Raw genomic sequence first — 25881 nt, 5'->3', positions numbered from 1 at the left:
CATGCTTCTTAATTTTTGTTGAAAACTGGACATTTTGGATATTATAATGTGTTTATTCTGGAAACCAAATTTTTCCCTTCTTCAAGGTTATTTTTGTTACCCACTGTGGGATGTAGTTTTTATTTGTTTAGTAACTTTTGTAAACTGGTTTTGTAATATCTGCATTCTTTTTTATGTTTGATGTTTGAAGGCGGCTCGGTTCCTTTAGCTTGTGTTCATTTAGCATTTAGTGATTTAAAAATGATTTCCTTGACTGCAAGGAGCCAAAAAAGAAAAAAATATGAAAAACATCTCCCAGACTTTGCTTACTGACTCTGTATTGGGGCTCCCTCAACACTTAGCGGAGCCATATATAATTCTGCCTTAGCCTTCATTTTTTCTTGCTGTGAGCCTAGGAATTACTAAAGGTGAGTTATTAGTGTCTTCTCAGGCCTTTTCTGAGCATGTGTCCCACCTTGGCCATGCTTATGGATTTCCAAATTTTTCATTGTATGTAAGCACTTTTGAGTATTCGAATTTCCCAAAGGAACTTTCTCTCCTGCTTTTTCCTCAAGTTTTCAGTACAGTATATCTTGCCTCAATTGTAATATTTTGCCTCAAATGGCTGAGGGTTGTTAATTTGCCTTTGGATGATCTGATTTCTAAAGGTTTGGTGGAATTCTCTGTGAAAACATCTAAACCTAGTGTTTGTGTGTGTGTTATAATTCCATGACAACTGTATTTCTCTATGGAAATTGCTCACATAAGTGCTGTACTTCTTTTTTTTTTTTTTTTTGAAGTCAATTGTGGTGAATTGTATTTTTCTGGAAAATTACCCATTCCCTCTAGCTTTCAATGTTTTTCATAGATGTGAACAACATTGTTTTTAATGATTTTTTATTTGCTGATTATCAATAGTTATTTCTCTCACCATTCCTTATTCATTTTTGTGCTTTCTCTTTTTTTATTCATGATTAAAAGATCTAATTTTTTGTCAACTTTGTTGATTTGTTTAAAGAACAAGATTTTTGGTTTACTGATTTGATCTGTTTTTTGGCTTCTTATTTTATTAATTTTCACTTTTTTCTACTATGGGTTCTTTCTTGTACTTTCTGCTTACTCTTTTAGATACTTTTTACATTTTTCAGCTGATAATTTAATTCCTACACTTTTATTAATAAATGTGTTAAGGCTATAGATTTTCCTCTGATCACTGCTTTAACTATATCCCATATACAGATGCTCCTTGATGTATGATGAAGTTATGTCCCAACAAACCCCCGTAAACTGAAAATATCATAAGTTAAAAATGCATTTAGCACACCAAAAATTATAGGTTAGCCTAGCTTACTTTGAACATGCTCAGAACATTTAGATTAGACTTCATTGGTCAAAATAATCTAACAAAATGTCTAAATAAAGTATTGAATAACTGATATTTATTAAATATGGTACTGAAAATAAGAAACAGAATGGTTGTATGGGTACTCATCATTAATGTACATAGCTGAAATTACACAGGGCCTGAAGAATTTTTGAAGCATTGAGCTAAAGTTAATTGCTGAATGATGGGACTAATACTTTGACACAGTCAGTGTCTGTCTCTTCCGATGATGAGGGTTGAGAATAGCTGGTAGAAAGTATTGATGCTTGTTGATGGTAGGCAGGAATTATGTTCTTCAGGAAGATATCAATAATATTGATATCAGGAAGATATCAATAATGTCACAGATTATGCTTCATACTTGTCTTCCTGAGTCTTCTTTATCCCGAACACCCTGAGTTTTCGAATGGTTGACATGCCAGCTGGCTTTCTGCAGATGTACTTCTCGTGTGTAAATTTCCTTCTCTGTGAGGTATTCATATTGAACATGACCTCCAAGTGTGTTTGGGTCTGTGCAGAAGACAATAGGACTGCGATTTCTGATGACTAAAACCTGGCTTGTATGTTACTGTGATCAGACCCTGAGACTGCGTTAGCAAGTTTTATAGCATCTGAGTCGCTCTGTTGGAGGAAAGTGCATGTGATGGGCATTTGCTTGCTTCCCCACCAGATTCTCTACCTTCACCCTTCCTGCAATATTCCCTAGGAAGCTGACTTCTGCTGAATGCAACACTCAGGTTCTCTGCTTCCTAGATCCTAGTTGAGTTTGGTCCATGGGAGGCCTTGGCAGAAATTTTGAGAGTAAGAGCAAATAATTACTTAACCATTAGAAAAAAATAACATGAATGTGTCCTTCTATCCATGGCCTCAGTTCCTGTTGGGGAGCCTCGGTGCCAATCCCTCGGTGCATTACCATTTCTAATTAGTTCCTGTTTTAGTCTGCTTTTGCGTGTGTGTGTGTGTGTGTGTGTGTGTGTGTGTGTGTGTGTTGTTATAAAGGAATACCAGAGGCTGAATAATTTTAAAGAAGAGAGGTTTATTTGGTTCACAGTTCTGAAGGTGTGCAAGAAGCATGGTGCCACCATTTGCTTCTGGTGAGGGCTTTAGTCTGTTTCCACTCATGGCAGAAGGGGAAGGGAAGCTGGCATGTGCAGAGATCACGTGGCAAGAGAGAGGGGTTTGTACCAGGCTCTTGTTAACAACCAGCTCTTGTGGGAATTAAGAGAGCTAGAACTAGGTAGGCACGGTGGCTTACGCCTGTAATCCCAGCACTTTGGGAGGCCGAGGCAGGTGGATCACCTGAGGTCAGGAGTTTGAGACCAGCCTGGCCAACATGGTGAAACCCCGTCTCTACTAAAAATACCAAAAATTAGCTGGGCATAGTGGTGGGTACCTGTAATCCTAGCTACTCTGGAGGCTGACACAGGAGAATGGGTTGAACCCGTGAGGTGGATGTTGCAGTGAGCCAAGATCGCACCACTACATTCCAACCTGGGCAGCAAGAGTGAAACTACATCTCAAAAAGAAAAAAAGAGCGAGCAAGAACTCACTTGGATGGCACCAAGACATTCGTGAGAGGTCCACACTCAGGACCAAAACACCTCCCATTAGGCCCCACCTCCAACAATGGGGATCACATTTCAACATGAGTTTGGAGTGGTCAAATATCCAAACCCTAGCAGTTCCCTTAACCCTGGAAAGAGACCCTTCATTAAACTCTTTCTGCTTAATCCTTTGAGAGTGCAACAATTTCCTGCTAGGACCCTGACGGATAGAGGGACCATACAGATCACTAAAATGCTGAGGAATTTTTCAAATGAACTGCACCCAACAGACCTCCCTGATTCTGAATATATCAAACTTTTATTTTTTATTTTATTTTATTTTATTTTTTGAGACGGAATCTCGCCCTGTCACCCAGGCTGGAGTGCAGTGGTGCGATCTCGGCTCCCTGCAACCTCCACCTCCTGGGTTCAAGCGATTCTCCTGCCTTAGCCTCCCGAGTAGCTGGGACTACAGGCATCCACCAGCAGGCCCGGCTAATTTTTTATTTTTAGTAGAGATGGGGTTTCACCATGTTGACCGGGCTGGTCTTCAACTCCTGACTTCATGATCCACCCACCTTGGCTTCCCTAAGTGCTTGGATTACAGGCGTGAGCCGCTGCACCCAGCCAAACTTAAAAAAAAACCCCAAATAGTACTTTGAACTTCACCCGCAGGGAGTTATTCAAATTGGTTGTCAGCCAGTTATTTCAGGTTGTTGAGATCATCTGGCTCTTGATTTTATTAATCATCTTAGCCTTCCCTTTCAACAATTTGCCGACTTTGTGCAAATTTTATTAATATGTGATCTCTGTCTTTATCCATGGAGAGGCAGTATAGTATCATGAGGAAAAATAGACTTTGGAGTAGGCAGAAATTAGGTTTGAATTACTAGCCACGAGGCTTTGGGAACATTACTTAAACTCTATAAGCTTCAATTTCTTTATCTATAAGGTATAGATACCTTACCTTTATCTATACCTTATAGATACCTTTATCTATAAGGTATAGATCTTTATCTATAAAACCTGAAAGTTTTGGCATGAGTTTAGTAAAACTGTCTGTGAAGCCCTTGTGGACTGCTTGGTCCATGTAGGCATTTGATAAACGGTGGCTTTATATAGAGTAGGGAAATGCAAGCTATCTCAAAAAGAAATCAGGGAAATAAGAATGCCATCTGAAATCTGTCATATGAGAATGAAAGGAGCATAGACAGGTTTTGAGTGTGGGGTGAGGAGTAGGGGAGGGGAGGAGATAAGTGAACTGCCCCTCAGACTTCCAGGGAGGAGAAAAATGATGTCACTGGGAACTGCAGTCATTTGAAAAGATAGCAATCAAGCATTTCTTTCAGAGCCCTGTTCATCTTTCAGTGGCTTTGCTTCTCCAGATGCTTTTGCTCCTTCAATTATCTCTGCCTTCTCCCACCTCCTCTCCAACCATCTCTTCCCTTCCTTAATTCACAATTTTTCTCCCTCTTTTCAAGGCATAGTGCTTTGATTTATAAATTAGTTCTATGTTTCTGTTTTCTAATTTATTAGTTTCTGCTTTCTTATTTATTTATTTTGAGATGGAGTGTCACTCTGTTGCCCCAGTTGGAGTGCAGTGGCATGATCTTGGCTCACTGCAACCTCTGCCTCTCAGGTTCAAGAGATTCTCCTGCCTCAGCCTCCCAAGTAGCTGGAATTACAGGAGTGCGCAACCAAGCCTGGCTAGTTTTTGTATTTGTAGGAGAGACAAGATTTCACCATGTTGGCCAGGCTGGTCTGGAACTCCTGACCTCAGGTGATCTGCCTGCCTCAGCCTCCCAAAGTGCTGGGATTACAGATGTGAGTCACCGTGCCTAGCCTGCTTTCATATTTATTAACACATTATTTCCACTTTCCTAAGGATAGTTGTTGTTCAACCTTTACTAGCTTTTTTGTTGTTCATACTTAATACATTTATTTTTATTGTGCTATAGCTATTTCCCACATGTGATTTTTTTTTTTTTTTTTTGAGATAGGATCTTGCTCTGTTGCTGAGGCTGGAGTGCAGTGATATGATCATGGCTTGCTGAAGCCCTGAACTCCTGAGGTTGGGTGATTCTCCCACCTTAGCCTCCCAAGTAGATGGGATTACAAGAAGTACCACTATACCTGGCTATTTAAAATTTTTTTTTGGCGTGTGTGGAGATGGAGTCTCCCTATGTTGTCCAGGCTGGTTGCGAACTCCTGGTCTCAAGTGATCCTGCCACCTTGGCATCTCAAAATGCTGGGATTACACATGTGTAATATTTTTATTGTCACTATTTTCCACATATTCTGGAAATTTTATTTGGATTTCTTTTTTTTTTTTTTTTTTGACAGAGTCTTGCTGTGTCACCTAGGCTGGAGTGCAGTGGTGCAATCTCAGCTCACTGCAACCTCCACCTTCTGGGTTCAAGGAATTCTCCTGCCTCAGCCTCCTAAGTAGCTGGGATTACAGGCATGCGCCACCAGGCCCAGCTAATTTTTGTATTTTTAGTAGAGACAGGGTGTCGCCATGTTGACGAGGCTGGTCTTGAACTCCTGACCTCAAGTGACCTGCCCACCTTGGCCTCCCAAAGTACTGGAATTACAGGCATGAGCCACTGTACCCGGCCTGGATTTCTTTTTGACATAGAATTATTTAAGAGAAAGCTTTTAAATTTCCATGCTGTAATTTCTAGTTTTGTCGTGTCATAATCAGAGAATATAATCTGTAGCATTTCTACATTCTCTACTTTGCTTAGATGTTTTTAGGGTGGGGTGTGTAATATGTACTGAATTTTGTAAACATTTTATGGACATACAAATTTCAATGTTTACTTTTTTAGGCTATAGGCTTTGCTACATAATCTTTGTGTATTTTTTGGTCCTCATATAGATTTTTTAATTACCTTTTTGCTGTGATAGAGATTAGAAGGGTAAATTAATGTCTCATTTACCATCATTTTTCTTTCTGTATCTCTTTTCATTTCCTGATGCTTTGGCTTTATGAAATCTTTATGTATAAAAATTGTGCACACATATCTTTATGCACAGTGTTTTGGATTTTACCCTTCATAATGAGCTTTTTTCTCTCCTTTGAATTTGACCTGGCCTGGTGTTAACAGCCCAGGTGTAAAATTCCAGTGAGAAAGAAGTCTGATGAGGAGTCAGTAGGATCTTTGTGTTGCTGAGAACTGCTCAGTAACACGGACAGCTCCCTGCACTCCAGGAAACATCCTGATTCAGTGTCTTGAGTATTGTGAAGCACAGTTAGAGCAGAAACATGGAGAATCACCTTAAAATGGCAAATTGGCTTCTGGTCTTGCATAAGACTTCATTGAGGCCTAATGGGCTATGCAGGTCTACTGTCCAAAGTACAGAGGTTATTCCCAGTGTCTTTAATATTACTGTCCCTTTAGGCAAGAGTATCCTTATGATAAGGGAGACTGAATTAAGCTATTTTGGCTGAGGTATATTTTTATAAATTCATCCAATTAGCTTCCCTTGTTGTAGTTTTGGCTCACCAAACATTGTTCTGATTATAATTTAGCATCCCATATAATTTCATCTGCAGGGAGAGTCTGTACTAGGCATGGCAATGCTTACATGTCAGCCCGTGTGACTGCAAGAGTCTCAGTATAATTTGATAACATGGCACTCAGATTCTAGACATTATTCTCTGTGTGCTTAGTGAGTGTGATGACATAACCTTCAGAAAGATTCATCCTTTCTCACATATTGATAAATCAACTTTTACATCTACAAAGTTGAGAGCCAGAAATTAAAACCTGATTGATTCACTAAGGCATCCCTATGACGGCAGTCTTCCAACTAGCTCCATTCTGGGGCACTCTGACATCATTATACACTTTCCAATGAAAGCAGGGAGTGTATGTGATTAAAGGGAGAGCCCTGTGGCACTCCTGAAAAATCTCCCCTCCCAGTTCACAGTGACTTATTAACCAACACTCATGATCATGTGAAACTCTAGAACTGGATCTGGGTGCCTGGCAGGATGACATGGTGTGAGGCTCAAGCAGCACTGTGGGAATTCAAGCATCTGTTTATTTCTGAGAGACAAAGTGTAAAGCAAAATAATATCTTTTAACAAATGTTTGTATTTGACTAAAAAGGAAGCAAGCACTTAATTTATGAATTTGCTAATTGCTCTTCTGAGCTGAGAATATCTGTGTTGAATATTAGTCATTATCCATATTTGGCACAGAATAATCCCGAGGGCTAAATGACATTGTTCCTACAGTGGGCACCTGAAGACTGGCTATAAAAGCAATCCTGGCCAGGGGCGGTGGCTCACGCCTGTAATCCCAGCACTTTGGGAGGCCAACGTGGGTGGATCATGAGGTCAGGAGTTTGAGACCAGCGTGGCCAACATAGTGAAACCTCATCTCTACTAAAAATATAAAAAAATTATCTAGGCACGGTGGCAGACACCTGTAATCCCAGCTACTTGGGCGGCTGAGGCAGGAGAATCACTTGAACCTGGGAGGCAGAAGTTGCAGTGAGTCAAGATTGCGCTAATGCACTCCAGCCCAGGCGACAGTGTGAGACTCTGTCCAAAAAAAAAAAAAGAAGAAAAAAAGAGAAAGGAAAAAAAAAGGAAAAATAAATAAATAAGTAAATAAATAAATACATAAAAGCAACCCTCACACTACTGAGGCTATTGACAGTGGCACTTTGCTCTTCTGTTAGAACCTTGGGAAAATGTTTTCCCCCTGAATACAGTATAATAAACTTGGTTCTTATTTCTCTTTCTCTCCCCCTCCTTTTTTCTTCCCTCCCCACTACCACATGCACACACACAAATAGACAGATTTGTTTATATTTGACTTTCTAAAAACCTGTTACTAGAAAGGCACATTAATACATTTCTCCTGTGCTGATAGTAATCAGGCAACTCTGGTTTCTATCGGAGGCAATTTCTTACGTATTAAATGCCAGAAAAAGGGCATCCCTCCGTTTTTGTAGAGAGCCTTTCTTTATGAAGACTAATGACCACATTAGTTAGTCAGTCAGTCAATAATACTTACCAAATGTCAGTAGAGCCGAAGTGAACACCAACAGAAAATCACATTTTACAAATGCAATTTACCTGGTATCCTAACATGCCATGTCATAATAATTATTGAGGCTTTTCTTCTCTGCTGCATTGGTCTAATGAAAGTGGCTAGAAAAATATGGGTGCCCATGTAGCCTCCTGGAAGCACCTGTATGACTTTTCTAGAAGCGAGGTTCCTGGATAAAGATGAATTTTTAAAAGCTGGAATGAATGAGCAGCAATAGCAGAAGGAGAAAAGTGAGTGAGGGCTCTCCAAGAAGCCATCTGGCAGGCTAAGGGTTCTGAGGGAAGCTCTGGTTTCAGAAGCAACTCAGGAATTACTTCTGTCATATTAGGATGGGATGGTAGGAGATTGGGAACTCTAGGGACTAGAAGTCATTTAATTTCCTGTCTACAATCCTTAGAAGAGGTTTTGAGACTTGCAACCTAGGACCTTAACTAATCATCTTCCCTCAGCATTGATAGAATTCTTTATTATACATGTTAATATCAGATTAGTCAGGATGGGCTGGATTATGCTGTGTTAACAGCCATTCTCTAAATCTCTGTGGCTCAACAGGGAGCTCTGCCTGTCATGGTCACTTGGGACCCAGGCTTTGGGTATAAGGCTACAGCACATGGAAAACGTATGAATGTCTCTCAGATTCTTAAAGCTTCTGCTGGAAGTGACATGTCATTCTGCTCACAGTTCATTGGCTAAATGAGTCACGTGGCTCTCTCTAACTTCAAGGATGGTATGAAATTGCAATCCTACCATGTCTCTAGAAGGAGAACCAGCCCTAATCACAATGCTACATGTTTATAGCTTGCCTCATAGAGTTTACTGTATTCTCCTGGTATAATTTTCTTACATGCTCAACTGGAGAGGAAGCTCTTAAATAGAAAAAAATCACAGTAAATTTCCTTTAAAAGATCTATTTTACAACTCTGGCATGATGGAGCACAATGGAGTCCTTAGTAATGGACTCCATCTCTTCCATCAGATAAAATGTTGAGAACTGAAGTTAAAATTTGAATAATGAAACCAAAGGAAAAAAAAATTAAATGAATTTTAAGACAATTGAGATAAGAACAACTGTGGCATCAGCATAATTCAATTTAATAATGTATTAAATATTTTGCAGAAAAGTGAAAACAAATTGATAGCCAAATCAATGCAGCATTAAGCCACCATGTGGTCTAATTTCTTGCTGAATTGACAAAACAAAACACTAGTTTAGTTATATAAACATGGCTGATGTTTATACAAACAACAGAATTTGCCGGTAGCATTATCACTGGAAAATAAGATGTGTACTTAATTCTTGTATGTTCTGAGCCCATCTAGGAAGAACATAAAAGACGAAGAACAAAGCAATCACAGGATGTTATCATGAAAATATCACCTTTGGCTGGAGTAAAGTTTTGGCTAAATGTGGCACTAGTATTTATTACAGCTCACCTTTTTATAATGAAGGGCTATGGACTGAACATTCTTATTATTTCCCATTTTCTTACCACTCTATCCCAACACACATGCACATGCATGCACACACGCACACACACTGGCACCCACACCCATGCATGTGGGACACACAGAGCAGTCCAGGCAATTTCAATTGTTGGCAGCTTTGCTTTTATTAGGTATTAGTCTACCAACTTGCTTTCTCTTTAGAGAGACTAAGTGAAACCAAACTCATTTCCACCCAGTTATCCTGCTGGAACCTGTAACAGTTACTGTAATGTTAAAAGCAGTAAAACAAAATAAAAACCAGTCAGTTCACTTACTCCCGAAGTCCGCAGTTTGGTGTTCAGCTTTAAAACGTGCTCTGGGCGTCCTGTGGTGGCTACCAGAGGCTTTGGTGAGTCATTGTCAACCCAGTAGCTAGAGAAGTGCTGGAATGCCCCTGTTAAATACAGAGCCAGTTTGTCCTTCAGAATGGCTGCTTGAACGAATTTACTGCTCAACTCGAAAGGCCATTTTTTATAACCCACTGCAGTTGTGCTTCATGTGTTTCTCCACCTATCCTGTAAAGTGTATTGTGAAATTAATTTTGTAGATTTCCTCACACTGCAGTGACTAGGGAAATCACCCATTCATTATTATCTAATGAGGAGAAAGTGGAAACATCTAGAAGCACTGCTCCCATCCTCCTCCCCAGCCCACACAGACACCTACCTCAGGCCCTCCCTGTCCCAGGTGAGCAGAGGGCCCCACCTTCGGAGGTTGCCTCCCTTCCACCTTCACCAATCCTATGACCAGATTATCCCCAAGGAAATGTCAATCTCCAGGCAGCAAGGGAATCATATAAAGATAAGATCATTGAGAGATTTTTTTCCTCCGTGATTGGCAGTTTATATTTTCTTGGGTCTACAAATCTGACAGCATTTATTAAATTTTCTAGTTTGATACTGACCTCTGTCTGATGCTGGGCTGTCACCATGCCCAAGACTGAGGGGACCCACAGTCTAGCTAGAAGGCATGGATCAATTCCAACTGCCCTACCCCTAGCCTGTGTGCAGGAGAAAGCTCTCAGGCTCTGGCAGAGGAGTCCCAGGGGAAGGATGCATGATCTTCCACTGTGCCTCCCAGCCATGCTGAGCAGCAAAGCAGACCATGAGCAGGTCTCCCTTAAATTCATTTGCTTGATTTGTCCTTGAGTGTCCTTGGATGGGTTTGTTCCCTCCTTGTCCAGTATGTCTTGGTCATCCTGATTCCTGGGCTTGGCTCCCAGGTTGATTCTTTCCCTGACACAAAACAGGCACTATGGGCAAAGACACCTGCAGCCTTGGAGAGACCAGTGATGCTGGATGTTTCCTGTTAGCACTCAGGAAAGCTCAGAGCCTTTGATGAGCATCTTTTGATCCATTAGTTAAAACCACGCTGGGTTCTTTATAGTGGTTAGTTAGCTCTGGGCTATGGGATTGTGGAAGACATTTATTTCTTCTTTGGATTCACCTGGATTTTCTGCAACGGACATGTATCGATAAAATACATGGTGCTTTTCAGAAATTGCCCCATCATCATGTTGCTGTTGTTGTTATTGATATTGTTGTTTCTGATGGATAGAGATCTAGGCCTGACACTCCAAGCAGTGTGAACAGCATTTACCTTGATAAGCATTCTTACATCTTAACCCTCGGGAATTTTAAATAGAAGTGTTCCGTGTGATTAAATTAACAGGTTTAGAGATGGGTGTCCTGGTTATTTCCTTTGTTCTCCTCCTGGTAGCTGCCTGCACTCACAGCGTGTTGGGAATGGTGATTATAAATGTAACCATGCTCTCTTCTTGTAAGTGGAGAGCCCAGGTACCTCTTATCCAGCATGTGACCCTCTTTCTACCTCAGGATAGTCATACTCTTAGGCTTCCTAGATTTATTCAGGGCCAAAGGAGTGGTCAAGGTCCTTTTTGTTTTGCCCTATTCCCTTTGGAAAACATTTAGTTTATGCCCATGTTACAGATTGCAAAATACAGGCACATATTCTCACTAATGTGGTCTGCATGTCCCTTTGCAAGGACATGCAATGTGACTTCACTACTCCTTTCATCAAGAAAAGGAGCCTCTTGGTCAGGCACGGTGGCTCACGCCTGTAATCCCAGCACTTTGGGAGGCCAAGGCAGGCAGATCACGAGGTCAGGAGATGGAGACCATCCTGCCTAACACAGTGAAACACAGTCTCTACCAAAAAATACAAAAAAAAAAAAAAATTAGCCAGGCGTGGTGGTAGGTGCCTGTAGTCTCAGCTACTTGGGAGCCTGAGGCAGGGGAATGGCGTGAACCCAGGAGGCAGAGCTTGCAGTGAGCCTAGATCGCGCCACTGCACTCCAGCCTGGGCAACAGAGCAAGATTCTGACTCAAAAAAAAAAAAAAGAAAAAGAAAAGAAAAGGAGCCTCTTTGCCTCTTTACCCTAATCTGGGCAAGCCTTGCAACCTGATTTGCCAAAAAAATATGAAGGAAGCAATGTGATGTGATTTTCCAGGCTAGAATGTAAGAAGCCTTGGAGCTTCTGCATTTACTGTCTTCAGATGCTGCCTGAAACCACTGTAAGAAGCTCTAACCTACTGGAGGATAAGGGGTGAGCCCAAGAGCATCAAGGCTCCCATCAACAGCCAGTCCTGTGAGTGAGGCCATCTTGGACCTGCCAGCTCAGTAAACCCTTTTGCTGAACACAGCCCAAGGAAGGAACCCTTGCAAAATGAAATCATGTGGTCAGTTTGCAGGGTGGTTATTACACAGCAGTAGATGATTGAAAAGGCCCAGTGTCTTCCTGGGGACTGAAGCACCCACCTCCTGTTCATGTTGATACACGGTGAGCAGAATATGGATGTGGGAGTGGTGTTGGTTGCAGGTGAGGTAGAGAAGCACTGAACAGAGCACAAAGACCTGATGTTCCAGGGTCGGGAGTTTAGACTTGATCCTAACAGCGGCCATAGGCGGATTTAGGCAAGAGAGTAACGTGGTCAGATTTTCATTTTAGAAAGTTACTCTGACATCCATGTGGAGAATGAACTTGAAGGTCACAAGGCTGATGGAGCCAGGAAGACCATTTGGGAGGTGATCGTAGTAATCTACTTAAGAGTTCATTACGAGCTGGGGAATGGGGAGGTGTTAGAGAAGAGAAAATGGATTTGAAGAGCTGAGGGATGTTAAAAAGGCAAAACTGGGCCAGGGATGGTGGCTCACGCCTGTAATCCCAGCACTTTGGGAGGCCAAGGTGGGCAGATCATGAGGTCAAGAGATTGAGATCATCTGGGCCAATATGGTGAAATCCCCTCTCTACTAAAAATACAAAAATTATCTGGATGTAGTGGCACACACCTATAATCCCAGCTACTTGGGAAGCTGAGGCAGGAGAATCGCTTGAACCCAGGCAGTGGAGGTTGCAGTGAGCTGAGATTGCACCACCGCACACCAGCCTGGTGACAGAGCAAGACTCCGTCTAAAAAAAAAAAAACAACGGAAAATTGTTGGGACTTGTAATTAATTGGGTGAGGAAACTGAGTGGCAAATGGTCTCAGCTCTACACATGGAGAGCCCTGGGGACATAGGGAGAGCACATTTGGAAGGAAAGATGATGATTTTAGTTCTTAAAATTTTGTTTGTGGAGGAGGCATTCAGACAGAGAATTCTGTTGGGCAGTTTTATGTAGAGAACTACATCTAAAGAGGTCAGAAGTGAACTTCAATAAAATTGAGGTGACCAATGATCATCAGTTTTAAAGAGGACATATTTTCTTTTTCTGTTAAAGGGAACACACCTATGAGTCAGAAAGCCAGACATTTATTTTTTCTCGCCAAAGGTTATTGTACAACCTACGGAAGAGAGTGTAAACACTGGTCTTTAAGATGAATTGTAAAGCTCTAAAGAGAATAAGAAAAATTGTGTTTCATGATTTATGATGGATAACATTTTAGAGTTGATTTCATAAGAGAATTCATTAAGCCAATAGACAACCATGGCATTTTAACTGTAGTGTTTAAGTATCTTTAGCTCTGATTTTTTAATTAGCAGAAGCAAATAAAGAGAGCTTCATTTTAACCATGAGAAATCTCTCTTCTGTATTTCATGTGACTAAATTTGTCCAGATGCTGAAGTTCAAATAATCACAGTGATTGCCAACATAATGGTTAATTTTCTGAGAAGTAAGTTCATGCTTTGCCACAGTTTGCTCCCCTGTAAGATCAGACAGAAAAATAAGAATAAAACCGACTAATAGCTATTGATTGCTTCTGGAACAGCTATCAATATAAAGAGCCAGACAAAACACATAATAAAGAATTGTGTTAGTGCCAGAGAGACTTTAGAGATCATTTTCCCATCTCTTTACCTTCTCCTACTTCTTTCTGTCCCTCCACCCCACCAGCTCTGATACAGACACACAGGATATTAGTAAAGGATAGTATTTGTTGAGAGCCTTTTGCATGTCAGGCACTGCTTCTAAACGTTGTATAATACCAGCTCATTCAATCTTCAAATCAATGCTATACAGTAGGTACTCTTCTTCTTTTTTTTTAAAAAAATTTTACAGCTGAGGGACTGAGGTATGGAGAGGTTAGGTAACTTGTTCAAGGACACCAAGCCAGTCAGGCTGCCACTGGACCTAAGACAAGGTAACCTGGCTCTGAGACCAACCCCACAGAGAAGTATGTGGATGCTGACAACACTGTAGGAAGTTACAAGGAGCAAAAGAATAGCAGCCTCAGCCCTGAATTCCACTGTAAGCTTCCCTCTAATCTTCCCTGCCTCACTCTCAATCGAATAAAGAGCTGATCAGGAAGCAACTATGCACGGTCTTCCCCTCCACACCTCCAGCCCCAGCTCCCTTCCCCAGACTCAGTGCCAGCCTGTGCCAGCCCCCAAGATGGCAGTGTGGAGCCATGCACTAGGTCTGCCGCGCACCCAGCAGTCGGCTGTGGGTTCTTTGTATCTGTCAGAGTCCTGGCAGGAAATGGTTTCATTCTCAAAGGGTTAACTAGGAAGAATTTAGTGAAGGGTCAGTTTACAAGGTTCAGGAACTAACGGAAAATGGTGAAGCACCCAGGGACTGGCACTGGAGCTTCCCCACAGGAGCTGAGGCCAGAGAAGTATACATCCATTGTTGTCTTAAAGAGTGGTTAACTATCTATTTGCTCTTACTTTCAACATTTCTGCTGGGGCCTTGCATTGAGCAAACTCAACTGTAATCTAGAGAGCAGGGACTCCTGAGTGGCACATTCAGTGGGAGTCAGCTTCCTAGGGAATCATTTATTTATTTATTATTTATTTATCAGAGTCTCACTCTGTAGCCCAGGCTGGAGTGCAGTGGTGCGATCTTGGCTCACTGCAACCTCTGCCTCCCGGGTCTCTGTTCAAGCAATTCTCCTGCCTCAGCCTCCTGAGTAGCTGGGATTACAGGCACGTGCCCCCATGCCCAGCTAATTTTTGTATTTTTAGTAGAGACGGGGTTTCGCCATGTTGGCCAAGCTGGTCTTGAACTCCTGACCTTGTGATCTGACTGCCTCAGACTCCCAAATTGCTGGGCTTACAGGCATGAGCCACTGAGCCCTGCCTTCCTAGGGAATCTTGTAGGAAAGACAAAGGTAGAGAATCTGTCTGATGGCGGAAGCAAATGAATGCCCATCACATGCACTTTCCTCCAACAGAGCAACTCGGATGCTATGAAACAATGCTAAGTCAGTCTCAGTGTCTGTTGCAGTAATATTGTACATACTGTAGGTCTTAATCATAGGAAATTACATGCCCATTGCCCTGTGCATGGACCGGAGCGCACTTATGGGGGGCCGGTAGTCCTCCTTTCAGACATCTTTTTTTTCTCTGCCCCAACAAGTGGCCTTTCCATAGAAGACTGCCCAGAGAACCCTATGGCAACCCTACCCTCTTATTCCACTTTATTTTTCTTCAAAGTGTTTATTACTCCCTGTTGTTATGTTAGACTCTATATTTCTGTATTTGCTGTCCTCCAACTTGAAAAGAACCTCTGAGAGGGGAGGGACTTTCCTGGTCACATTCACTTGTCCCAGCACCTGCGATGGTGCCTGACATATCTCAGGGGCTCCTTAAATATTTATTGCTAGACAATGGGTATCATGGCTCAGCCTCCTCTGGGGTTATGAGGCTGGAGGAAAGAAACTTTAGCATGAGTGCAGTGAGAGTAAAAGAATTCAGCAGCTCTAATCAGGGAATGAATCTGGTGTGTAATAGGATCTCAAGGCTTGACTCCTAGTCTAAGACCATTTCTGGAGTTTGCTGACTTGATCCCCATCCTTCATCATTAGCACTTTGCAGGGAAGGAGCTGAGCGTGGATCTTGACTCTGAATTGGCTGGGGCATGCAAAATTGGGGGCACGCTTGGTGTTGCCCAGGCTCAGCTCTGCCTAGACACACGTGAGGGCCAAGATCTGGTTTGTGTTTCATGAGCTCTCCCAGGATGAAGACCCAGCCAGGCTGTCTGAAGAAGGGGTGTTCTTGAGTAGGAGGGAAGGACTGCTCCAATACGAAAAATCTAACAATAGCATAGTCCTTAAGAGCTTGAGCTTTGAAGAGGGAGAACAGACCCATTTAAGGCATGAAAAATAAAGGAAACTCTTGAGTCCCTCCAAGGAAAATTCCAGCCACCTGGCTAGCCTCAAGAAGTAGATGAGCACCCTGATAAGTAAGAAGGTAATAATAGCTTAAAACAATAGTCAAGAAAATTAGAGCCACAAACTAATCTTAAATGACGAGTTAATGGGTGCAGCACACCAACATGGTACATGTATACATACGTAACAGACCTGCACGTTGTGCACATGTACCCTAAAACTTAAAGTATAATTAAAAAAAAAAAGAAAATTAGAGCCACAAAATGTTTGTTTCCCTATAGAAACTAGAGATAACATCTTAACATATGTCCCTGAGTTGTTTTGTAGAAACCCAGACCCCGCTAAATGGAAAATACCACCTGTTGGCTCGTAGATCTCAGATAAGGAGGAACTGAGGACTGAACACTCACAACTGTTCTTTGTTCTAAATTTCTTCCTGAGGGACCTGGAGGAAGTCACACCCACAGGCCAGAGCAGAACATTCCTTTCTGCTGACCCCAAGTTTGTAGCCAAAACTTAACCAATCACAAATCAGAAAATCTTTGGGTTTTTGTTTGTTTGTTTGAGACAGAGTCTCACTCTGCTGCCCAGGCTGGAGTGCAGTGGCACGATCTCAGCTCACTGAACCCTCTGCCTCCCACGTTCAAACGATTCTCATGCTTCAGCCTCCTGAGTAGCTGGGATTACAGGTGCACACCACCATGCCCAGATAATTTTTGTATTTTTAGTAGAGATGGTGTTTTGCCATGTTGGTCTGGCTGGTCTCAAACTCCTGGCCTCAAGTTATCCACCCACCTTGGCCTCCCAAAGCGCTGAGATTACAGGTGTGAACCACTGCACCTGGTCTCAAATCAGAAAATCTTTGAATTCATCTAATGGTCACCTATCCTGTGGGCCCTCACTTTGAGATATTTTGCCTTTTTTGGCCAAACCAATATGTAGCCTCCATGTATTGTATGACCTTGCCTGCAACCTCTGCCTTCCCACCTTTAAAAACCCTTACACATAAGCCATCAGGGAGATTAGGCCTTAAGGATTAGCTGCCTGATACTCCTTGCTTGCTGCCTGCAATAAATTCCTCAACTTCTGTCTCAGCAATGCCGATATCAGTGCTTGACTTTGATAGGCTGGGTGGGTGGACCCAAATTTGGTTTGGTGACCTTTTGAGCTTAGATTCAAAATTCTAGTTTTGTCACTCTGCAGTTTTGTGATCTTGAGCAAGTTACTTAACCTCTCTGAGCCTTGTTTGTCATGTGTAATGAAAAGAGCTATACTTACCTTGTGAGGTAGTCCTCAGGATTCAATGAGATAATAAGTACTCACTAAACAAAACTCGTTATTACAAAAGAATCACTTTGTCTCTGAAGTGGGCAATTCAACCCATTTCTAGGAGATTTTAAACATGATTTTAGATATTTGGTGTGATTTTGTGAATGGGTTTATCATTAATAGCTTTCATGCTCCAGAATTTTCTTGAATAATAGGTTTTTGCAAAGTGCATTCCATGGAATACTCATTTGGGTGATGTTAATAGACATCACTCAAAAGCTGGGTGAATATTACAATGTTTACTTCATCTGTAACAAGCTGAGTAGCTACAGTACATATCTAAGAGGGGGCTCTAATTCTCAATATTTTCCAAATTTATTAGATCACAGACTTTTCTTTTAGTGAAGTGCTTAATGAAACTTAAGTTCTGTGAAAAGTACTTTGAGAAATATTGCTTTAAAAAGAAAAAGATTGAGCCCTGTATCAGGGGAAATATCTAATATTTTAACCTCGAAGTACTCTGAGGCTTGTAGGAGGGTAAAATAGAGACCCAGTAAAATTGTAATAAGCAGTGCTTGAATTATTTGGTTTCGGTTGTTTTCTATTAGACTATGGTGAGCTCAGGTGATTGATACCCCTGATGCGAGTAATACGGATGTGTTTAGGAGTGGGACTTCTAGGGGATTTAGCGGGGTGATGCCTGTTGGGGGCCAGTGTCCCCCTAGTTGGGGGGTGGGAGCTAGGCTGGAGTGGTAAAAGGCTCAGAAAAATCCTGCGAAGAAAAAAACTTCTGAGGTAATAAATAGGATTATCCCGTATCGAAGGCCTTTCTGGACAGGTGGTGTGTGGTGGCCTTGGTATGTGCTTTCTCGTGTTACATCGCGCCATCATTGGTATATGGTTAGTGTGTTGGTTAGTAGGCCTAGTATGAGGAGGGTTGTGGAGTGGAAGTGAAATCACATGGCTAGGCCGGAGGTCATTAGGAGGGCTGAGAGGGCCCCTGTTAGGGGCCATGGGCTGGGTTTTACTATATGATAGGCATGTGATTGGTGGGTCATTATGTGTTGTCGTGCAGGTAGAGGCTTACTAGAAGTGTAAAAACGTAGGCTTGGATTAAGGCGACAGCGATTTCTAGGATAGTCAGTAGAATTAGAATTGTGAAGATGATAAGTGTAGAGGGAAGGTTAATAGTTGATATTGCTAGTGTGGCGCTTCCAATTAGGTGCATGAGTAGGTGGCCTGCAGTAATGTTAGCGGTTAGGCGTACGGCCAGGGCTATTGGTTGAATGAGTAGGCTGATGGTTTCGATAATAACTAGTATAGGGATAAGGGGTGTAGGTGTGCCTTGTGGTAAGAAGTGGGCTAGGGCATTTTTAATCTTAGAGCGAAAGCCTATAATCACTGCGCCCGCTCATAAGGGGATGGCCATGGCTAGGTTTATAGATAGTTGGGTGGTTGGTGTAAATGAGTGAGGCAGGAGTCCGAGGAGGTTAGTTGTGGCAATAAAAATGATTAAGGATACTAGTATAAGAGATCAGGTTCGTCCCTTAGTGTTGTGTATGGCTATCATTTGTTTTGAGGTTAGTTGGATTAGTCATTGTTGGGTGGTAATTAGTCGGTTGTTGATGAGATATTTGGAGGTGGGGATCAATAGAGGGGGAAATAGAATGATCAGTACTGCGGCGGGTAGGCCTAGGATTGTGGGGGCAATGAATGAAGTGAACAGATTTTCGTTCATTTTGGTTCTCAGGGTTTGTTATAGTTTTTTATTTTTATGGGCTTTGGTGAGGGAGGTAGGTGGTAATTTGTATTTAATATTTTTAGTTGGGTGATGAGGAATAGTGTAAGGAGTATGGGGGTAATTATGGTGGGTCATACGGTAGTATTTAGTTGGGGCATTTCACTGTAAAGAGGTGTTGGTTCTCTTAATCTTTAACTTAAAAGGTTAATGCTAAGTTAGCTTTACAGTGGGCTCTAGAGGGGGTAGAGGGGGTGCTATAGGGTAAATACGGGCCCTATTTCAAAGATTTTTAGGGGAATTAATTCTAGGACGATGGGCATAAAACTGGTTTGCTCCACAGATTTCAGAGCATTGGCCGTAGTATACCCCTGGTCGTGTAGCAGTGAAAGTGGTTTGGTTTAGACGTCCGGGAATTGCATCTGTTTTTAAGCCTAATGTGGGGACAGCTCATGAGTGTAAGACGTCTTGTGATGTAATTATTATACGAATGGGGGCTTCAACCGGGAGTACTACTCGATTGTCAACGTCAAGGAGTCGCAGGTCGCCTGGTTCTAGGAATAATGGGGGAAGTATGTAGGAGTTGAAGATTAGTCCGCCGTAGTCGGTGTATTCGTAGGTTCAGTACCATTGATGGCCAATTGATTTGATGGTAAAGGAGGGATCGTTGACCTCGTCTGTTATGTAAAGGATGCGTAGGGATGGGAGGGCGATAAGGACTAGGATGATGGCGGGCAGGATAGTTCAGACGGTTTCTATTTCCTGAGCGTCTGAGATGTTAGTATTAGTTAGTTTTGTTGTGAGTGTTAGGAAAAGGGCGTACAGGACTAGGAAGCAGATAAGGAAAATGATTATGAGGGCGTGATCATGAAAGATGATAAGCTCTTCTATGATAGGGGAAGTAGCGTCTTGTAGACCTACTTGCGCTGCATGTGCCATTAAGATATATAGGATTTAGCCTATAATTTAACTTTGACAAAGTTATGAAATGGTTTTTCTAATATCTTTTTGAAAAAGTCATGGAGGCCATGGGGTTGGCTTGAAACCAGCTTTGGGGGGTTCGATTCCTTCCTTTTTTGTCTAGATTTTATGTATACGGGTTCTTCGAATGTGTGGTAGGGTGGGGGGCATCCATATAGTCACTCCAGGTTTATGGAGGGTTCTTCTACTATTAGGACTTTTCGCTTCGAAGCGAAGGCTTCTCAAATTATGAAAATTATTAATATTACTGCTGTTAGAGAAATGAATGAGCCTACAGATGATAGGATATTTCATGTGGTGTATGCATCGGGATAGTCCGAGTAACGTCGGGGCATTCCGGATAGGCCGAGAAAGTGTTGTGGGAAGAAAGTTAGATTTACGCCGATGAATATGATAGCGAAATGGATTTTGGCGTAGGTTTGGTCTAGGGTGTAGCCTGAGAATAGGGGAAATCAGTGAATGAAGCCTCCTATGATGGCAAATACAGCTCCTATTGATAGGACATAGTGGAAGTGGGCTACAACGTAGTACGTGTCGTGTAGTACGATGTCTAGTGATGAGTTTGCTAATACAATGCCAGTCAGGCCACCTACGGTGAAAAGAAAAATAAATCCTAGGGCTCAGAGCACTGCAGCAGATCATTTCATATTGCTTCCGTGGAGTGTGGCGAGTCAGCTAAATACTTTGACGCCGGTGGGGATAGCGATGATTATGGTAGCGGAGGTGAAATATGCTCGTGTGTCTACGTCTATTCCTACTGTAAATATATGGTGTGCTCACACGATAAACCCTAGGAAGCCAATTGATATCATAGCTCAGACCATACCTATGTATCCAAATGGTTCTTTTTTTCCCGGAGTAGTAAGTTACAATATGGGAGATTATTCCGAAGCCTGGTAGGATGAGAATATAAACTTCAGGGTGACCGAAAAATCAGAATAGGTGTTGGTATAGAATGGGGTCTCCTCCTCCGGCTGGGTCGAAGAAGGTGGTGTTGAGGTTACGGTCTGTTAGTAGTATAGTGATGCCAGCGGCTAGGACTGGGAGAGATAGGAGAAGTAAGACTGCTGTGATTAGGACGGATCAGACGAAAAGGGGCGTTTGGTATTGGGTTATGGCAGGGGGTTTTATATTAATAATTGTTGTGATGAAATTGATGGCTCCTAAGATAGAGGAGATACCTGCTAGGTGTAAGGAGAAGATGGTTAGGTCTACGGAGGCTCCAGGGTGGGAGTAGTTCCCTGCCAAGGGAGGGTAGACTGTTCAACCTGTTCCTGCGCCGGCCTCCACTATAGCAGATGCAAGCAGGAGTAGGAGAGAGGGGGGTAAGAGTCAGAAGCTTATGTTGTTTATGCGGGGAAACGCCATATCGGGGGCACCGATTATTAGGGGAACTAGTCAGTTGCCAAAGCCTCCGATTATGATGGGTATTACTATGAAGAAGATTATTACAAATGCATGGGCTGTGACGATAACGTTGTAGATGTGGTCGTTACCTAGAAGGTTGCCTGGCTGGCCCAGTTCGGCTCGAATAAGGAGGCTTAGAGCTGTGCCTAGGACTCCAGCTCATGCGCCGAATAATAGGTATAGTGTTCCAATGTCTTTGTGGTTTGTAGAGAATAGTCAACGGTCGGCGAACATCAGTGGGGGTGAGGTAAAATGGCTGAGTGAAGCATTGGACTGTAAATCTAAAGACAGGGGTTAAGCCTCTTTTTACCAGCTCTGAGGTGATTTTCATATTGAATTGCAAATTCGAAGAAGCAGCTTCAAACCTGCCGGGGCTTCTCCCGCCTTTTTTCCCGGCGGCGGGAGAAGTAGATTGAAGCCAGTTGATTAGGGTGCTTAGCTGTTAACTAAGTGTTTGTGGGTTTAAGTCCCATTGGTCTAGTAAGGGCTTAGCTTAATTAAAGTGGCTGATTTGCGTTCAGTTGATGCAGAGTGGGGTTTTGCAGTCCTTAGCTGTTGCAGAAATTAAGTATTGCAACTTACTGAGGGCTTTGAAGGCTCTTGGTCTGTATTTAACCTAAATTTCTATAAGATTATTAGCATAAAAGGGGAGATAGGTAGGAGCAGTGTGGTAAGGGCGATGAGTGTGGGGAGGAATGGGGTGGGTTTTGTGTGTTCAAACTGTCATTTTATTTTTACGTTGTTAGATATAGGGAGTAGTGTGATTGAGGTGGAGTAGATTAGGCGCAGGTAGAAGTAGAGGTTAAGGAGGGTGATGATGGCTATGATGGTGGGGATGATGAGGCTATTGTTTTTTGTGAATTCTTCGATAATGGCCCATTTGGGCAAAAAGCCGGTTAGCGGGGGCAGGCCTCCTAGGGAGAGGAGGGTGGATGGAATTAAGGGTGTTAGTCATGTTAGCTTGTTTCAGGTGCGAGATAGTAGTAGGGTTGTGGTGCTGGAGTTTAAGTTGAGTAGTAGGAATGCGGTAGTAGTTAGGATAATATAAATAGTTAAATTAAGAATGGTTATGTTAGGGTTGTACGGTAGAACTGCTGTTATTCATCCTATGTGGGTAATTGAGGAGTATGCTAAGATTTTGCGTAGTTGGGTTTGGTTTAATCCACCTCAACTGCCTGCCATGATGGATAAGATTGAAAGAGTGAGGAGAAGGCTTACGTTTAATGAGGGAGAAATTTGGTATATGATTGAGATGGGGGCTAGTTTTTGTCATGTGAGAAGGAGCAGGCCGGATGTCAGAGGGGTGCCTTGGGTAACCTCTGGGACTCAGAAGTGAAAGGGGGCTATTCCTAGTTTTATTGCTATAGCCATTATGATTATTAATGATGAGTATTGATTGGTGGTATTGGTTATGGTTCATTGTCCGGAGAGTATATTGTTGAAGAGGATAGCTATTAGAAGGATTATGGATGCGGTTGCTTGCGTGAGGAAATACTTGATGGCAGCTTCTGTGGAACGAGGGTTTATTTTTTTGGTTAGAACTGGAATAAAAGCTAGCATGTTTATTTCTAGGCCTACTCAGGTAAAAAATCAGTGCGAGCTTAGCGCTGTGATGAGTGTGCCTGCAAAGATGGTAGAGTAGATGACGGGTTGGGCCAGGGGATTAATTAGTACGGGAAGGATATAACCAACATTTTCGGGGTATGGGCCCGATAGCTTATTTAGCTGACCTTACTTTAGGATGGGGTGTGATAGGTGGCACGGAGAATTTTGGATTCTCAGGGATGGGTTCGATTCTCATAGTCCTAGAAATAAGGGGATTTAAACTCCTATTATTTACTCTATCAAAGTAACTCTTTTATCAGACATATTTCTTAGGTTTGAGGGGGAATGCTGGAGATTGTAATGGGTATGGAGACATATCATATAAGTAATGCTAGGGTGAGTGGTAGGAAGTTTTTTCATAGGAGGTGTATGAGTTGGTCGTAGCGGAATCGGGGGTATGCTGTTCGAATTCATAAGAACAGGGAGGTCAGAAGTAGGGTCTTGGTGACAAAATATGTTGTGTAGAGTTCAGGGGAGAGTGCGTTATATGTTGTTCCTAGGAAGATTGTAGTGGTGAGGGTGTTTATTATAATAATGTTTGTGTATTCGGCTATGAAGAATAGGGCGAAGGGGCCTGCGGCGTATTCGATGTTGAAGCCTGAGACTAGTTCGGACTCCCTTTGACCTTGCTGAAGGTCAAATCTAATATATTAAACAAAAAAGTCCCACTGAAGAAAATCATCTTATTGTTCATAGACCTTAGTTTAGGTATTGGGGCCAAAGGATGGATGACCATTTCAAACGATCCAGGCTAAGCCAGGAGGAGAGCTCAAAGTCTGATCTGGTGAGTAAGTTGTGAAGGGAATGTGATGAAAAAGTACACTTCTATTGCAAAGAAATCATGAGCTAGGTTTATACGCTATGCTGTGAATGGCCAATAGATTATAAATTCAACAGTCTCCCTGTCACAGCTATGGTAATGACGACTGTTTAGGCCTTAGGGGAGCTTTAGGGAGAGGCAATTTCATACTTAAGTCACACTGACTTAAAAAGTGAAATATTTGAAATCATTGTTGAAATCACGTGGAGGTCGTCAGCAAGCGGATGAGGTTGGAATGCCTATCATTTTCCTCAAGCTCATGTCCTCTCATTTTCTTATTTGAAAATCTATTTGGCTCAGAAAGGACACCTAGGGTTAGTCAAAAATCACCTCCTGATGTTCCTTTTAAAGGAAGCTTCCAAGTTATTTGAATAGCTTCCAAGTTATTCATCGAGAAACAAAGCAAATTCAAAGATTATGTCCGTAGGCACAAACTGGATTTTAAGAAATCCTGGCTGCATAAACAATTGTCTTATAGAAAAGAATTTCTGTTCCTCTTTTCCCTCCCCTTGTCAATCCTATTTGTTTCAGACCTGGGTTCAAACACTAGCTGTAGAGGCTATAAGCTATTGGAAGCACATTTGAGCCTGAAATAAACTGAACCTCTTTTGCCTTGGTTTTCTCACTTGTAAATGGGAATTTTTGTGCCTACCTCAAAGGTACGTTGCAAGGATCGAGGGACAGAGCGTGCAGCAAGTGGCCAATGAATAGAAGTCTGGTTTTCTGAGCATCCTTGCAGCTGCAGGCTTCAGTCTACCAGAGAATGTGAGGTGTTATTCTTCTAGGGCAGTGGTTAGAAAAGAAAATGAAAGTAGCAGTACTCTTTTCCTAATGCAACCATAGATGATCAGAATTTGTAATCCATAAGGTAGAAGCTGCTGTGCCTGAAGAAATAGAAAGTGGGCAGAGGTGGAGGGGCAAGGTAGGGAGTGGAGTGGAAGGTAGGGAGAGTTTGATCCTAGCCTGCACTGCTCCTCAGAGGTACTTTAGCCTCTTTGGAACAGTATTAGAAAATCATGGTTCTATCAACTCATGTCTGAAAATCAATTGCTATTTCAGAGCAGGAGGTGACCAATCTTGGAAATAAGGAAGGGAGAGAGGCAGCCAAGCCAGCAGCTCCTAGGATTAGTCACTGCCTGGAGCCAGCTCTTGGAAGTTCCCCAGGAGCTGTCCAGTCTTATGTCATGTCTAGTCAGCAGAGTCCCAAAGAAGCTTGTCATTCTCTAGGCATTTGTGCTTACATTCTGATGGGCCTAATAGCAGGGAGATGACATGGAGCCCAGGCAGAACTGCTGAGATTTCTACTGGTCATGACCTCCATCTTCTCCTTCACACCTTTCCTACCTTTCTTTTTTCATGCATTCAACAGACATTTATTACCCAATAAGTGCCAGGTAGTAAGCGAGGACCTGGGGAGAGCAGATGAGTAAGACACCGTCTCTGTCTCTCAGGAGCTCTCAGATTCTTAGGGACACATGTACATCCTAATAAACACAGTGCATCTCATGAATGTGTAAGTTTAAGTTATTGATATAGGCACACACAGACAGAGGGACTTCGTTCCCTGCAGGTTCTGTAGTATTTCGTGCCCACTCCCCTTTCTTCCCTTGCTGCTCACATCATCCTGCCTTCAAGGAATCTGGGGGGATGGTAGACTGAAAGTGGCCCTTTCTGCATAATTCTTCTTGAAAATAAACATTTGCTCTCTTCTTAGAGGCTGACTATACTGAGAGCTACCACTCCTTGGCTGCTTATTAGCCATTGGGTTATTGCTAAGCCCTTTACATATGTTATATCATTTAATTGTATTGAATCTTCACCATAACACTTCAATGGAAATATTTTTCCAAATAAGGAAAGGTGAGACTCAAAGTAGTTGTATTAGTCTGCATTGCTATGAAGAACTACCTGAAACCGGGTAACTTATAAAGAAAAGAGGTGGGCCGGGCGCGGTGGCTCATGCCTATAATCCTAGCACTTTGGGAGGCCGAGGTGGGCAGACCACGAGGTCGGGAGTTAGAGACCAGC

At 42.4% G+C, this 25881-nt stretch overlaps 1 long non-coding RNA gene, 1 other non-coding gene and 7 pseudogenes across 2 annotated transcripts, besides 7 other annotated features; 2 read left to right on the top strand and 7 right to left on the bottom strand.

Moving 5' to 3' along the window:
• Positions 5903–6404: an enhancer, noted in NCBI's record as "NANOG hESC enhancer chr1:581712-582213 (GRCh37/hg19 assembly coordinates)". NCBI's record gives its function as "activates a minimal SCP1, AML or CMV promoter by ChIP-STARR-seq in primed H9 embryonic stem cells {active_cell/tissue: H9 hESC(primed)}" and the evidence as "EXISTENCE:reporter gene assay evidence [ECO:0000049][PMID:30033119]".
• On the bottom strand, positions 17814–18360 carry MTCO3P12 (MT-CO3 pseudogene 12; annotated as a pseudogene).
• Positions 18002–18977: an enhancer, noted in NCBI's record as "OCT4-NANOG hESC enhancer chr1:569139-570114 (GRCh37/hg19 assembly coordinates)". NCBI's record gives its function as "activates a minimal SCP1, AML or CMV promoter by ChIP-STARR-seq in naive and primed H9 embryonic stem cells {active_cell/tissue: H9 hESC(naive and primed)}" and the evidence as "EXISTENCE:reporter gene assay evidence [ECO:0000049][PMID:30033119]".
• MTATP6P1 (MT-ATP6 pseudogene 1) lies at positions 18360–19040 on the bottom strand (annotated as a pseudogene).
• MTATP8P1 (MT-ATP8 pseudogene 1) lies at positions 18995–19201 on the bottom strand (annotated as a pseudogene).
• MTCO2P12 (MT-CO2 pseudogene 12) lies at positions 19298–19979 on the bottom strand (annotated as a pseudogene).
• MIR12136 (microRNA 12136) lies at positions 20051–20121 on the top strand. Its single transcript, NR_162149.1, has one exon. It is a non-coding gene; the product is annotated as a microRNA 12136 (primary transcript).
• MTCO1P12 (MT-CO1 pseudogene 12) lies at positions 20120–21662 on the bottom strand (annotated as a pseudogene).
• Positions 20289–20898: an enhancer, noted in NCBI's record as "OCT4-NANOG hESC enhancer chr1:567218-567827 (GRCh37/hg19 assembly coordinates)". NCBI's record gives its function as "activates a minimal SCP1, AML or CMV promoter by ChIP-STARR-seq in primed H9 embryonic stem cells {active_cell/tissue: H9 hESC(primed)}" and the evidence as "EXISTENCE:reporter gene assay evidence [ECO:0000049][PMID:30033119]".
• Positions 20333–20627: a silencer, noted in NCBI's record as "tiled region #5852; K562 Repressive DNase matched - State 24:Quies". NCBI's record gives its function as "represses a minimal TATA promoter and a strong SV40 promoter by Sharpr-MPRA in K562 cells {active_cell/tissue: K562}" and the evidence as "EXISTENCE:reporter gene assay evidence [ECO:0000049][PMID:27701403]".
• Positions 21325–21925: an enhancer, noted in NCBI's record as "OCT4 hESC enhancer chr1:566191-566791 (GRCh37/hg19 assembly coordinates)". NCBI's record gives its function as "activates a minimal SCP1, AML or CMV promoter by ChIP-STARR-seq in naive and primed H9 embryonic stem cells {active_cell/tissue: H9 hESC(naive and primed)}" and the evidence as "EXISTENCE:reporter gene assay evidence [ECO:0000049][PMID:30033119]".
• On the bottom strand, positions 22050–23096 carry MTND2P28 (MT-ND2 pseudogene 28; annotated as a pseudogene).
• Positions 22096–22839: an enhancer, noted in NCBI's record as "OCT4-NANOG hESC enhancer chr1:565277-566020 (GRCh37/hg19 assembly coordinates)". NCBI's record gives its function as "activates a minimal SCP1, AML or CMV promoter by ChIP-STARR-seq in primed H9 embryonic stem cells {active_cell/tissue: H9 hESC(primed)}" and the evidence as "EXISTENCE:reporter gene assay evidence [ECO:0000049][PMID:30033119]".
• Positions 22840–23583: an enhancer, noted in NCBI's record as "OCT4-NANOG hESC enhancer chr1:564533-565276 (GRCh37/hg19 assembly coordinates)". NCBI's record gives its function as "activates a minimal SCP1, AML or CMV promoter by ChIP-STARR-seq in primed H9 embryonic stem cells {active_cell/tissue: H9 hESC(primed)}" and the evidence as "EXISTENCE:reporter gene assay evidence [ECO:0000049][PMID:30033119]".
• Positions 23296–23674, bottom strand: MTND1P23 (MT-ND1 pseudogene 23; annotated as a pseudogene).
• Positions 23727–25356, top strand: LOC101928626 (uncharacterized). The gene is made up of 3 exons (NR_125957.1): positions 23727–23817; positions 24513–24775; positions 24913–25356. It is a non-coding gene; the product is annotated as an uncharacterized LOC101928626 (long non-coding RNA).
• The last annotated feature ends 525 nt before the right edge of the window (positions 25357–25881 follow it).

This window comes from Homo sapiens, chromosome 1 (assembly GCF_000001405.40).
Source record: "Homo sapiens chromosome 1, GRCh38.p14 Primary Assembly".
NCBI lineage: Eukaryota > Metazoa > Chordata > Mammalia > Primates > Hominidae > Homo > Homo sapiens.
This window is presented reverse-complemented; position numbering and strand designations above follow the sequence as displayed.